Source organism: Homo sapiens, chromosome 1 (genome assembly GCF_000001405.40).
Source record: "Homo sapiens chromosome 1, GRCh38.p14 Primary Assembly".
Taxonomy (NCBI): domain Eukaryota; kingdom Metazoa; phylum Chordata; class Mammalia; order Primates; family Hominidae; genus Homo; species Homo sapiens.
Genome location: NC_000001.11, coordinates 64957054 through 64970561, shown reverse-complemented (window position 1 = coordinate 64970561; position 13508 = coordinate 64957054). Strand labels below are relative to the sequence as shown.

Below are 13508 nucleotides of genomic sequence, written 5' to 3'. Positions count from 1 at the left end.
CTTGTCTTGAACTCCTGACGTCAGGTGATCCACCTGCCTTGGCCTCCCAAAGTGCTGGGATTGCAGGATTACAGGCATGAACCACTGCACCCGGCCCTTTTTGTTTTGTTTTGTTTTTTTGAGATGGAATTTTTCTCTTGTTGCCCAGGCTGGAGTGCAGTGGTGCCATCTTGGCTCACTGCAGCCTCTGCCTTCCGGGTTCAAGCTATTTTCCTGCCTCAGCCTCCCGAGAAGCTGGAATTACAGGTGCCCACCACCATGCCCAACTAATTTTTTGTATTTTTAGTAGAGACGGGGTTTCACCATGTTGGCCAGGCTGGTTTTGAACTCCTGGCCTCAAGCAATCCACCCCGTCTTGGCCTCCCAAAGTGCTAGGATTACAGGTGTGAGCCACTGTGCCCGGCCGTTTTTTTTTTTTTTTTTTTTTGAGACAGGGTCTCACTCTGTTTCCCAGGCTTCAGTGCAGTGGCACCATACTAGCTCACTGCAGCCTTGATCTCCTGGGCTCAAGTGATCCTTCCACCTCGACTCCTGAGTAGCTGGGACCACAGGCATGTGCCACCACACTCAGTTATTTTTTGTATTTTTTGTAGATACAGGGTTTTGCCATGTTGCGCAAGCTGGTCTCATTTTGAACTCCTGAACCCATTTTGAACTCCTGAACTCCCAAAATGCTGGGATTACAGGTCTAAGCCACCACGCCTGGCTCAGTGACTGTTTAAAACTTTCCTCTTCTCAAACATAAAACTGAATTTCTTATCCTGTTTAGTCGGTGGCATCCAGTCGGTGGCATCCTTGGTCAGCTTATTAACCAATTCAGAAAATTTGGGAGTCATGCGAGATTCCTCTCTCTGCCTCAGTAGCCACATCTAATCAGTCACCAAGCACTGTCCATTCTATCTCCTCAGGCCTTTTGCATCTTCCTCAGTATCCTTCCCCAGTCCACTGCCTTAGATAGGCTGTCATCTCTCGCAGCTTGCAGTTTTACAATGACATGTAATTAATCTCCTTGCCCTCCAATTCATCTTCCACATTATCCCTAGACTAGTGGTTCTCAGTGGGGTGTGATTTTGCACCCCAGGGGACATTTGGCAACGTCTGAAGACATTTTTGGAAGTCACAGCTGGGAAAGGAGGAGGGTGGGGAGTTGCGGGGGGGTGTGATGGGGGAACAAGAGGACTTGCTACTAGCACCTAGTAGTCAGAGGTCAGAGATGCTGCTAAACATCCTACAATGCACAGGACACCCCCACTACAACAAGAATTTTCCAGCCCACAATGTCAATAGTGCTGAGGTTGAGAGCCCTTGCCCTAGGGTGATTCTTCTAAAACAAAAACCTTAAATCTCTCAAAAAAAAAAACCCACTATTTTATTTTAGGCAAAAGTTTTTGCATGGGATTCAACTTTTCTCATTCCCCAGTCACACAGCATATACTTATTTTTTTTTTTTAAGAGAAGGGGTCTCACTCTGTTGCCCAGGCTAAAGTGCAGTGGTGTGATCCTAGCTCACTGCAGCCTCAAACTCCTGGGCTCAAGTGATCCTCCAGCATCAGCCTCCCAAGTAGTCGGAAATACAGGCATGTGCCACCATGCCCAGCTAGTTTACCTTTTTTTTTTTTTTTTTTTTTTTGAGAGGGAGTCTCGCTCTGTCGCCCAGGCTGGAGTGCAGTGGCACAATCTCAGCTCACTGCAAACTCTGCCTCCCGGCTTCAAGCGATTCTTGTGCCTCAGTCTCCCAAGTAGCTGAGATTACAGGTTCCCGCCACCACGTCCAGCTAATTTTTGTATTTTTAGTAGAGATGGGGTTTCGCCATGTTGGCCAGGCTGGTCTCAAACTCCTGACCTCAAGTGATTGGCCCACCTCGGCCTCCCAAAGTGCTGGGATTACAGGCGTGAGCCACTGCACCTGGCCTTTGTTTGTTTGTTTGTTTTTATTTTAGAGACAGGGTCTTGCTGTGTTGCCCAAGTTGGTGTCAAACTCCTGGCCTCAAGCAGTCCTCCTGCCTCAGCCTCCCAAAGTGCTGAGATTACAGGCATGAGCCGCCACACCCAGCCAGCATATACTATTACTGCCTGAATATGCCGCTACCTCCTGACTCCTGCCTCCTGTCGGCTACTTGAAGCTTATTCTGACTTCCTCAGACTCGGCTGGGTGACTGTCTTCTGTGATCACCATTACAGGACCGGGAATCACTGAATTGTTACTTGCCTGTCTCTCTGACTGCATTGAGCATTCAGAGGTCAGGAACCTAGTCTATTTTTTTTTTCTCTGAATCTTCATCACCTAGCACAATGTCTGTTATAGACGAACAGATCTAAACTGAATCCAGGCCCTCTCCCCCTGATTCCACCCTGTGAACAGCCAGATTCGTTCGTGGGCACAATGGGTTCACTGCTGCCTTCCTGACTTTCCTTTTTCTTTACATCCTCACCTGAAATGCTGTTCTTTCACGTCTCTGTCTCCCTTCATGTCAGTCTCACCTGTTCTTTATGGTCCAGCTCAATAAAAACCCCTACCACTTCCTGAGCCCATGCCATGTGGGCTATATTATCATAGTTCACCTTCAGCAAAACCCCTTTAAGGAAGGCATTATCCCTATTTAACAGGTGAAGAAAATGATGCAAACAGCCCTGAGGTGTTGTTCAGAGTGTGGCAGATGAGACAAGACTTGCACACAAACACCCACAATGCAGGCAACCCGGGTTGCCTCCCTGTCTGCTCTGATCTCCGGTCTTCTTTGGTCCTCTTTTCTGTACTTCTGGAAGGCACTTTGGAGATCCTTTTGTCTGCTGCTCCACTGAGAATTGAGTCAACTAAGAATTGTTTAGGGCAACACAGGTGGTTACTGGTGGAGGCCAAACCTCAAATTCAGTAGTCTAATTCGGATGCTTGACTTTATTCCACACCCAGAATATCTTGCTCAGTTTCAGTTGCAGTAACTCAAGTGATCAGGAACTGTCCAGCAGGGTTAGTGAAGTCAGCACAGGTGGGGCAGCCTCTGTCCACAGCCCTGAAGCTGCAGAATTCTGACCGTGCACGGCCTCGGAGGATTTTCATCCAGGGATTGTCAGGGGGAAGTCGCTGGAGTGTTTTAAGCATGGGAGTGTGTGGAACAGATTTGAATTTTTAAAAGTTCATTGTAGAGAATTAATTGGGGGCTGGAGTGAATGGAGTGACGATTTAAGAGATGTTCGTGGTCCCTTCAGGTGAGAGATGGTGGCAGCTCGGACCGTGTTGCCGGAACATAGACAAGTGAACTGATTGGAGAGATACCTAAGGAAATAAAATTGTTAGGATTTGTCCGTGGACTGCCTACGAAGTATGAATCTTGGCTACAGTGTGACCTTGATTAAGACACTAAAGACTTAATTTGTTCCTCATGGATAAGATGATGCTACTACTTTGAGAGGTTATTAGTAAAAAATGAAAAGCGCTGTACATGCATTAGGTATCAGTGAATGTAGTTCTAATTCCTATTATGCATATGCTTTTTTTTTTTTCGTAAAGAGCTTTTAAAATACGGAATGGGTTGGATCTGCAGTAGCTTGTCCAAGCTGGGGGCTGTATTGTTAAATTCTTTTTAGTCTAGTGCTCCACTAGCTCCTCTCCTACTGAGCTGGGGTAAGAAGCGGAGCGTATACGGAGGAGGCGGGATGCATTTCTGCATCGAGCGCACAAAGGTGTGGCGGAGGGGGCTCCAGAGCTGGGAGGGGTCAATCTACGGGCGAATCCTGGCAATTTTACTCCCCGCGATAGATGACCTCGCGTCCTAGATGAGTTTCTAGATTCTAGAATCTAGAGGACGCGGTGAACAGAGACGAGTGGGGGCAGCTTCGCGAGCGAAGCCGGATGGGGGCGGGGCGGGTAGGCCGGAGGCGCAGAGTCTCCGCCGGGACCGCGACCCCGCCCCGCTTTCCGGGGCTGCCGCTGGTGACGTCGCGAGGGGGTGGGCCCGGCGGCCACGGGGGTGGGGCCGGCCGCGGGGCGGGGCGGGGCGGGACGGGAGGCGGTGCGTCGCTGAGCGCAGGCCGCGGCGGCCGCGGAGTATCCTGGAGCTGCAGACAGTGCGGGCCTGCGCCCAGTCCCGGCTGTCCTCGCCGCGACCCCTCCTCAGCCCTGGGCGCGCGCACGCTGGGGCCCCGCGGGGCTGGCCGCCTAGCGAGCCTGCCGGTCGACCCCAGCCAGCGCAGCGACGGGGCGCTGCCTGGCCCAGGCGCACACGGAAGTGGTGAGTGTCACCGGGGGAGGTGGAGGAGCCGGGGCGGCCGCGGTCGGCAGGCGAGGGGCGCGCAGCCCGGACTGGCCGGAGGCGCGGCCACCGCTCTTGGTCGGTCCTTAGGCTGCGCGGCCCGGGCTGCTCCTGAGCGCAGCTCAGGACCCCGCGGCTCGGGCGGGGAAGGCGGGGATTTCCAGCCCCGCGGAGCCGGCGGGCGGCGAGGAGGTCGCCGGGCGGGGGCCCCCGGCCGGGAGAAGAGCGGTTAAGCCAGGCCGCCCCCTCCCCCAGCGCGCACGGCAAGTTTTCATAAACAAGCCCGGAGCGCGCTGTCTGACATCCTGTTTATACCACCCCGAGATACAGGCGCGGGCTGGAGGGCTGACGTCCCTAGCTCCTTGTACCGCGAACTTGACCGCCAGCTCCCGGCCGGGGTGGCAGCGCAGAAAGGTTTTCTTCTTCGGCCCCAGGAAGGAGGCTGAGGGTCTTAGCTTTTTTCCTTCCTTGCGGTCTCAGCGAGGGAAAGTTTCTGGGATTTGGAGCTGGGTGTTGGGCGTCCGCGAACTCGGGAAACGCCCCCTCCCCTCTTAGGTTCTGTTAGGAACCAGGCCTCAGGTAGCCAGCGAGAAGTGGGAAAGGAGACCCTGGGCGAGAGGACCAGGGAAGGGGAACAGTGGGAGAGAACTACCCGGGGAATTGCGAATCCCACTGGAAAGGGACTGATTAACCGAAACTGGGGCTGGTCTCTGGCTCCCTCACTCCAACTCCATCCGCGCATCGTCGGCGACCGGGAGCATCGGAGGACTAATAGACACTCCTCCAAAGTCACTCCCCAGGGTCCCTGGGATGTGGGCTCCTTGGATGTGTGTTTACCACGGAACTTCTAGATAAAAGATGCGATGTTTGCCAGGTGTTTGTGCACACGTTTTTTGGAGGGTTTGCACTCCATGATTTCCTGTGTGTTCCTGGGGAAGGGGACCCCGTCCTTCCTGCCACTCTTCTTACTACGTGGCTGTGAGCTGCCTTCTGCCCCTGGTTGAGTACATCGCTATACATGTCATTGACACTTTTCCCCCCAAGTCATAGGGTTTTTCTCTCACTGGCAGGAATTTACAGTGGTATAAAATTGTCATTACTTCTTTCAGGGAGTAAAACATGGGTAGTTAAGTGATGAGAATAATGCAGAGAGAGATGTAAATCAGGGCGTGTTTGGTTTTGGCTATTTTTTTATTTTTTGAAGAAAAGATTTGAGTTAAATATGGGTATAGGCACAGTAGATTTTGTTTAAGATGAGCAATTCGTATTGATTGAATCTTTGTTCTTCCCTTTCCAAAACCCCATTATGTGTTGTTTCTTGATTTTGCTTTTGGTGACTCTGATGTTTTCCAAGACCAGGGGATTATTTTCATTGAAGGATCAATGTGTTCTTTTGTACTTTGTGGTGAAGATTAATGGAGACCACCAGGGTTCCAGACATTTCTGGTACAATATGCTTTGTAATGTGGAGAAAATGTCTCCCCTGTATAGATCCAGATCACATTTAAAGATGTGAAGACATCATACTGGAATGACTTTGGACATTATAAATAGGAATAATCATAACCTCTTCTTAATTCTGTATATCATATTAACTAAGTGCTTTGACTGAGTCTTAGTTTCTGCAAATAGATACAAAACTATGTTTTTTTACTGCTAGGATTGCAGTGTGATACTCCACACTGAATACAGCCAGTTTAAATGGTTTCCTCCATTTCATACTATACTAATTATTTACTACCATTGGGAAATGATTGTAGAGAATGCATAAATTAGATATAGGTAAAATAATTCAAACATTTCCTAAAATATAACTACATTTCAGTTGTTGTAATTTAGGATCTTAACATGAGCTTGGCTAAAGCCATATACTTCCGACTGAAACAAGCATTGAGAACGTGTAGGTTGATACTCATTTGTGTAGAGAGAACAAGAGAACACTAAGGTATAACTGCATAGCAAAGACCATGATCTGTGTTTTCTAATTCTCAGATTCCTCTGGTGTTTTTTTCCCCTCAAAGACACATCCCATTTTGTATGTCCTTATGTCCTGATAAGATAATAGCATGCTGTTAGAAGATTTATTGTCTGAGATGTGAATATTCATACAAATAAATTTTTCTTGTTCATTTTCACATTTAAAACCATTATTTTAAGTGGATGGGGAATTGGCTTATTAATGGAATCTCGCTGAAGAAGGAACATTGGATGTTCTGTGATTATTGTGGCTCAGTGGTATATGGAACCTTGTCATTGAACAGGAGTGTTGGAAGGAACTTTCAGATTTTTTTAGACTAGTAAGGGTATGATTTTGCACCCAATGAGATATTTGCAGTTTCTGGAGACATTTTTGGTTGTTACAACTTGGGGGAAGGGAGCGGTGCTACTGGTAGGCATCTAGTGGTTAGAGGCTAGGGATGCTACTAAACATCCTATAACGCACAAGACAGCCCCCCATCCCAAACAAAGAATTATCCATCTCAGTAGTGCCCAGGTTAAGAAGTCCTGCTTTGGAATACTGAGTAAGGAGCAAGAAGATCTGGGCTCTTGTGGCAAATTTTTTCACTTCAGGGCACCTCTTTTCTTCATTTGCAAAATGGAGATAAAAATATTCTCCCTGGTCATCTCGCAGAGTTTTGGGGGGAAGTCAGGTAAATAATGCATGGAAACTGTGACGTGCTATGCAAATCATAACTAATATGAAGAGTATTTTTCATAAGTGAATCATTAGATTTACCGGTAGTTGAGGGAACCAGGGTTAAGGCAATATGTTGAGTAAAAAGCCGCCTGTGGATGGTTTGATATTATCGAATTCTTTGTTATTCATTTTTTGGGGTAAAGGTTTTTTTAGTATACTTAGTTTTCTTATTGTCAGAACATGTACTTTTTAGCTCTATAATTTCTTTAAGCAAAGGTTATTTTTCCCATCATAACAATAAGGAGAATTCACTATAGAAAAATTAGAAAATATAGGAAAGTAGAAAATAGAGGGAACAAGTCATTCATGCTCTACTCGCTTGTCCATTTAAGCACACTCACATCCTTGCCAATTTCTTTTCTATAAGAGCAGTTAGGATTCAGAGAATGATGAGAGAGAGTAGCTGGTGACCAAGGAAGGTGTTCCTTGTTTCTGTGCCCTTCATTTCTTTCTTTTTTAATAATTACGATGTAAAGGTAAATTACATTATAGTAGGCATCAGAGACATCGGTTCATTGTTTTTATTATTATTTTTATTTTTCGAGATGGTGTCTCACTCTGTCGCCCAGTCTGGAATGCAGTGGCACAGTCTAGGCTCACTGCAACCTCTGCCTCCCAGGTTCAAGTGATTCTCGTGCCTCAGCCTCCCGAGTAGCTGGGATTACAGGCACGTTCCACCATGCCTGGGTAATTTTTGTGTTGTTTTTTAGTAGAGATGGGATTTCACCATGTTGGCCAGGCTGGTCTAGAACTTCTGATCTCAAGTGATCCGCCTGCCTTGGCCTCCCACAGTGCTGGGATTACAGGCGTGAGCCACCGCGCCTGGCCTGGTTCATTGTTTTTATACTTTCCTTGCTGCCTCCAAGCCATGTTCTCATTCAGCTTGTTTCCTCTCTGCTTCTTACTCTCCCCCGTGCTCAGCTAGGTGTGCCACTGTTGCTTCCTGTCTCAGAAACCCTCTGGTTACATGGGATTTCAAACAGCTGTCATGTTGAAATGACTGGGTTTCAGGGACCGGAAACTAATTCCTGTGAGTATTCTTTCCTCTGAGGTGCACCAGCCTTCTTGGCAGTTTAAGGCGACAGGAAAGCATAAAACATTAAGCTCATTTCCGTGATACCTCCACTTCTGAGGGTTTATGATCCATGATTCTTTGTAGTTGGCAGTGGGCACACATTCTTCCTTGGTGCTCTGCGGATAAACTGCCCAGTCCCGAGGCAAGACCTGCTTTAGAAGCAAAAGGATAATTTCTTTTAAGTCTACTCTGGCCAGAAGATAGAGCTGGCGTTTGTTGGGATATTTTTAATCTGCAGTAACTGAATTTATTTAACAGTACTATTCACACTAGCATTTTATACATTCTTTTATTCATTTAGCAAATACTTGTTGAGCTCTTGCAGTGAATCTCAGAGAGTGAATAGACAGACAACAAAACAGGTACAAATCTGTCCTCGTGTGGAATTTACAGTCTAGTGGAAGACCCTGAGGGCATGTTCAGTTTTACAGTTGCAGACTATATGCATGTAAAAGAGTAAATCTTTGTGATTGTAGAATGTTTCCTAGAACCCTTCATGGCACTCCTTTGAAGTTTGAGGACTAGGAAGTAGCTTCCCCTTGTTATCTTTCTTTTTTTAATGTTACAGATTAATTCATTCTTTGTATGCACAGACATCTCTTTGGTACCTATTAAGTGCCTGGCAGAAGGATAAGACATAGTTTATATGGAAATAAACTTGGTATACATGGCTGTAACACATTGTGGGTGATGCTGTAGTAGCAGTCAGAATTAAGAGCTCCAGGACCCTGAAGAGAGCTAATTCCTGCGTGGAGCCCTTGTCAAATGCTTTTTTGAAGAGGCTTCATTTGAGTTGGGCCTTCAGGAGTGAGTAGGAGTTCCTTTGTTTTAGGGTGGGAAGGAAGTCTAGGCAGAGATACAGTGTGAGCAAGGACATAAAAGTGGGCATGTACGTGGTGTCAGTGGCAGACTTGGAAGTGGCCACTAGATTAGAGCAAAGACTGCTTGGGAGGGAGCGGAAGGAGGTAGGGCAGGACATGCAGGTTGGATCCAGATTGTGAAGACCGTAGCTCTTTCCACAAATTTGTGAGCAGTGTTAGGTTAGGGACTGAGGCCTCTGTTGAACGAATGAGTGGGGAAGATGAGAAGCCATTTGAAGTTTCCAAGCTCAAGAATAACATCGTTAGCAAATGAAGACCTGAAGCACTGAGAGTTCTATGAAGGGTGAGCTTCATCTGACCATTGTGCAACTCTCTCCTCCCCATCCCAGAAAACGCCTTTTATTATCTGCCATTTATCAACTATCCAGAAGACTACTAGGAAACAAGAAAGGCTTCGAGCCAAGCAAGATGTCATGAAGTTCATCCATGCTTTTCTTACAGTGGAATAAAACCTACTTTGATTTGCTTTTAATTTATAAAGACTTTTTTTTGACAGTTTATCTAACTGGTTTTTAAGCCATTAGGAAATTAAATACAAGAAACCTAAGAGGCAAGAGTTGTTAAGTGGATGAATACAGGAAGACATGTTCTCAGAGGCAAGCAGTGTTAATTTTTATCTTAGAAGTGAATAAGGAGTTTCTACTGGTTTATGACAAGGAGAACCAAAACTCAAAAGTGAAACAATCTGGGGCATTTAGTGGAGGGCAAACACCATTGTCAACAAGCTAGCAATTTGAGGTTGCATTGTTAATCACAGCACAGTATGGTGTTTGGTATTGGTAATGATCATCAAGCCATGAAGAAGAGGTCAAGTTGTTGAGCATAAATGAAGTGAAAGTTCACATCTCTAGCAGAAAAGGGCAACTTCAGATGTCTCATTTAGGGGTTAGGAGGTATGTAAGAAGGTCTGAGGACAATATAAGAAGCTGCTTTCAGAGAATTTCTGTAGACAAATTCAAAGAAGAGGTTTTCTTCAGGGTGAAACACCAGTGAGGAATCTTTGCTTTAACTCAGGGAAGATTACTTAAGAGTGAGCTGCGAGAGAAGGTTGACTGTGAAACCTAGGAAGAGGAGCTGCGGCCGTCTGCATAGAAGATAGTAATAACTTGAAGCCGGCTGTAGGAGACTAAATCACATCAATTTATGGTACCTCTGAGTAGAAAACAGACTGATTGATTGTCTTTTAGCCTTGTTTTGTTTTTTGATTCTGATAGTCTGTTTTTGGAGGCTCTGGATCTACACTGTATGATTTGATCCTAGCTGTGAGTTTGCAAGCAAGTTACGCCTGTTTCCTTATCCATAGAATGACAATAAAGACAGTACCTACCTCTGAGGTTGTTTTGAGGGTTGAATGACTATGCTTAAGATTTTGAAGTGATGCCAGCATGAGCTGAAAATGTGCTAGCTATTTTTACATTTTATTTTATTTTGAGACAAGGTCTCGCGCTGTCACCCAGGCTGAAGTGCAGTGGTGTGGTCATAACTCAAGTCAGCGTTGACCTTCTGGGCTCAAGCAATCCTCCCCACCTCAGCCTTCCGAGTAGCAGGAACCACAGACATGTGCCACAATACCCAGCTAATTTTTAAATTGTTTTGTTGAGAGAGGTTTCATTCTGTTATTCAGGCTGGTCTCGAACTCCTGGGCTCAAGCAATCCTCCTGCCTTGGCCTCCCAAAGTTTTGGGATAATAGGCATGAACCACCATGCCTGGCTTATTTTATTTTAATGATTGATAAATAGGATGTGTATTTTAAAAAAAACCCTCAAATTATATTCAGAATGTTTAACATAGTAGGGAAGATGCCACCAGTAGATACAAAACAAAAACTAACAGATATATTCTATGTTAGATTTCAGTTAGCAATGAGTAAATCAAAAAAGAAGGCAGTTTCTCAAATCTAGAAGGGTTTATTACGTAGACAGTGCCAAAGGTGCTAGGTAAATTAGGTTTTACTCTTATTTTTAAGGAAAAATGACTAACAAAGGTGCTTTTATTTAATTTAAAGTGCCATCCAAGGTATATAATTTGGTAGGAATGTATTTGACTTTCTGGGAAAGTTAATGTGAAGATACTGTGTTGACCTCACTGATTCAGTTTACTTAGCAAGTTGTGGGCTATTGGCAGAGGCACCATGTATACCTGTTTGTAAAACGGTGTCTTCAGAGTTGTGTGGAAATTAAATATCTTGTAAATCAGATAATACTCCAGGGAGTTTTGCTGGTAAGGAATTATAAGAGTTTAAAGGGACTCTCAAATATGTATTCAGTTTCTATGGAATGCCCTTTTACAGTTTCTGTTTCCATAAACATATTTTGCTTTCCTAAAGCAAGATTTACCCAAAATGTAAAAGTGTGCAAAGAGTTGGCCCTTCCTCCTAATCATAGATGTGTGTTTTAAAATATTTTAAATGTATTTCCTTCTTGGTGATGTATATGTTGGACTGGTTTCTTGGGTCTGGGCATTATTTATACTCAAGAACAGTTGTTGCCACGTGATTGGAAAAGCGCTATTGATGTCATTCTCATCCCATATGCTTTGACAGCAAAGGAGTTAGCTGTATCTTCCCTTGTCTTCCCACTCTAGAATGAGAAAGACAAGAAAGCTCCCTAATTTGATTTGTATGGAGGGGGAGTGGGTAGGAAAGTCCACTTCAGCTGAAAAGGCTGACCTGTAGGTATTTAAAACATAAATTTAGGTCTGTTATTTTCACATACACTTGGTAACTCAGACTGGTCTGAATATAAAGTAGAAATAGCTAAGAACCATTTGTAATGAATGCAACTCTTATTTGTTTTTAATGGTGTTTTAAGGACTTAAGGGTATTAGAACTGACAACAGTTTATTCAGTTAAGCACAATTTTATCTGGAGGCTTGCTTGCACAGTTAATTTGATCAGGTTGTAGTAAGGCTATATAACAGTTTTTTTCAATTATGATTTAAAATAATGTTTATATTGTACTAAGAGAAAAGATAACAGAAAACAACTCAAGGAAAAAATAATCTGCCAAATATGTGTCTTTCCAGATAAAAATTTTGTTATTAAACTAGTTTGGTGGATCACACACAGGGATGCGGACAGATGCAATATATATTATAAAGAAAGAAGTACAATGGCTTTTTGCCAGGTGTACCTGCAAACCCATTTTAGCACTAATTCACATAACATAGACTAAAAAGTAATATGCTAATGTCTTAATTTAATATTCTGACTGATTTTGTTCAGTTAAAACCATTCTGTAAAACTTAAGGCAAGTCCACGAATCACAGTATACGGGTTATCTTTTTGGGAAAATCATTTGATGTATGGTGGTAACTCCAAGGAACCTCATGTTTTTACTTGTGTAGAACGACCATTCACTTGGGTTGGTTGGAAGTAGGAAGAAGTCAGAGGAGGTCATATTGGCCCAAACATAAATTGTAAGCCCACTTGATGTGATTTAGGAAGCAGGCCACCTACCATCTACAAGCTGGCTGAAATACAAATGCTCTTAGGTTTTCATGTTTGTTCCTTTATTCAGCAACTCTCTGTAGATCTCACTGTATGTGAGAACAAGATGGGCTTGGCTCCTGCCCTTAGAAAAGTTCCTTGCTAGTTGAAAAAACAATTCAGCAATTATATTACTGTTTGTTACAGTGATGCTGAGTACCGGGAGAGATGTCAGAGGTGGGTTGTAAGAAAAGGGAGTCTTTGCAGTACACTTTTTTTTTTTTTTGAGACGGAGTCTCGCTCTTTCGCCCAGGCCGGGCTGCAGTGGCGCTATCTCGGCTCACTGCAACCTCTGCCTCCCGGGTTCACGCCATTCTCCTGCCTCAGCCTCCCAAGTGGCTGGGATTACAGGCTCCCGCCACCGCGCCCGGCTAATTTTTTGTATTTTTAGTAGAGACGGGGTTTCACCATGTTAGCCAGGATGGTCTCGATCTCCTGACCTCGTGATCCGCCTGCCTCGGCCTCCCAAAGTGCTGGGATTACAGGCTCCCGCCACCACGCCCGGCTAATTTTTTGTATTTTTAGTAGAGACGGGGTTTCACCGTGTTAGCCAGGATGGTCTCGATCTCCTGACCTCGTGATCCGCCTGCCTCAGCCTCCCAAAGTGCTGGGATTACAGGCATGAGCCACTGCACCCGGCCTGCAGTACACTTTTATACATGGAAATCTGAAGTGTGAAAGAGCTGTGCCAAGAGAATGAGGAGGATTTCCAGTGAGAGGCACGAATATGTGCCAAAGACCTATGGTGGGACCAACACCCTGCAGCTGGTGCAGAGAGAACAAAGGTGGAGGCTGGTGAGGCAGGAAGGAACCTGGTCAAGCAGGGCCTTATGTGCTTTATTACTTTTGGGCCTTATAATGCATTAGGGGAAGTTGAAGTTTTTAAGCAGGGTAGTAACATGATGAGATTTGTGTCCCATGAAAAAACGGAAGGATCCCATCCACTCACTGTTGCCCCTAGAGCACCTCTCCTCTCTTTCCTCTTTCCCTTCATTCTGCTGCCAAATACCTTGAAAACCTTCACTTCCTCCCACCCACTCATTCTTTAACCCTTTGCAAACTGACTGCCACCTCTACACTCATGAGACTGCTTCCTTGAGGTCACCAGTGACCTTC

The 13508-nt window shown here is 45.2% G+C and overlaps 1 protein-coding gene across 9 annotated transcripts in view, besides 5 other annotated features; it reads left to right on the top strand.

Moving 5' to 3' along the window:
- Positions 1 to 13508, top strand: part of JAK1 (Janus kinase 1) — a 234518-nt gene that overhangs the window by 97185 nt on the left and 123825 nt on the right. For 3 of the 9 annotated variants that reach the window (NM_001321857.2, NM_002227.4, NM_001321855.2), the window contains exon 1: positions 4013 to 4229. The exons of 4 other annotated variants lie outside the window; for them this stretch is intronic. The gene's annotated coding sequence lies outside the window, so the exon portion shown is untranslated. Of the gene's footprint in view, positions 1 to 3625; positions 3682 to 4012; positions 4230 to 13508 lie in introns of those variants that run through there. 2 more of the 9 variants (NM_001321856.2, NM_001320923.2) reach the window with 1 other exon arrangement.
- Positions 3789 to 4668: a silencer, noted in NCBI's record as "silent region_959". NCBI's record gives its function as "represses an Ori minimal core promoter by ATAC-STARR-seq in GM12878 lymphoblastoid cells {active_cell/tissue: GM12878}" and the evidence as "EXISTENCE:reporter gene assay evidence [ECO:0000049][PMID:35858748]".
- Positions 8015 to 8114: an enhancer, noted in NCBI's record as "active region_1139". NCBI's record gives its function as "activates an Ori minimal core promoter by ATAC-STARR-seq in GM12878 lymphoblastoid cells {active_cell/tissue: GM12878}" and the evidence as "EXISTENCE:reporter gene assay evidence [ECO:0000049][PMID:35858748]".
- Positions 10307 to 10386: an enhancer, noted in NCBI's record as "active region_1138". NCBI's record gives its function as "activates an Ori minimal core promoter by ATAC-STARR-seq in GM12878 lymphoblastoid cells {active_cell/tissue: GM12878}" and the evidence as "EXISTENCE:reporter gene assay evidence [ECO:0000049][PMID:35858748]".
- Positions 10397 to 10446: an enhancer, noted in NCBI's record as "active region_1137". NCBI's record gives its function as "activates an Ori minimal core promoter by ATAC-STARR-seq in GM12878 lymphoblastoid cells {active_cell/tissue: GM12878}" and the evidence as "EXISTENCE:reporter gene assay evidence [ECO:0000049][PMID:35858748]".
- Positions 13315 to 13484: an enhancer, noted in NCBI's record as "active region_1136". NCBI's record gives its function as "activates an Ori minimal core promoter by ATAC-STARR-seq in GM12878 lymphoblastoid cells {active_cell/tissue: GM12878}" and the evidence as "EXISTENCE:reporter gene assay evidence [ECO:0000049][PMID:35858748]".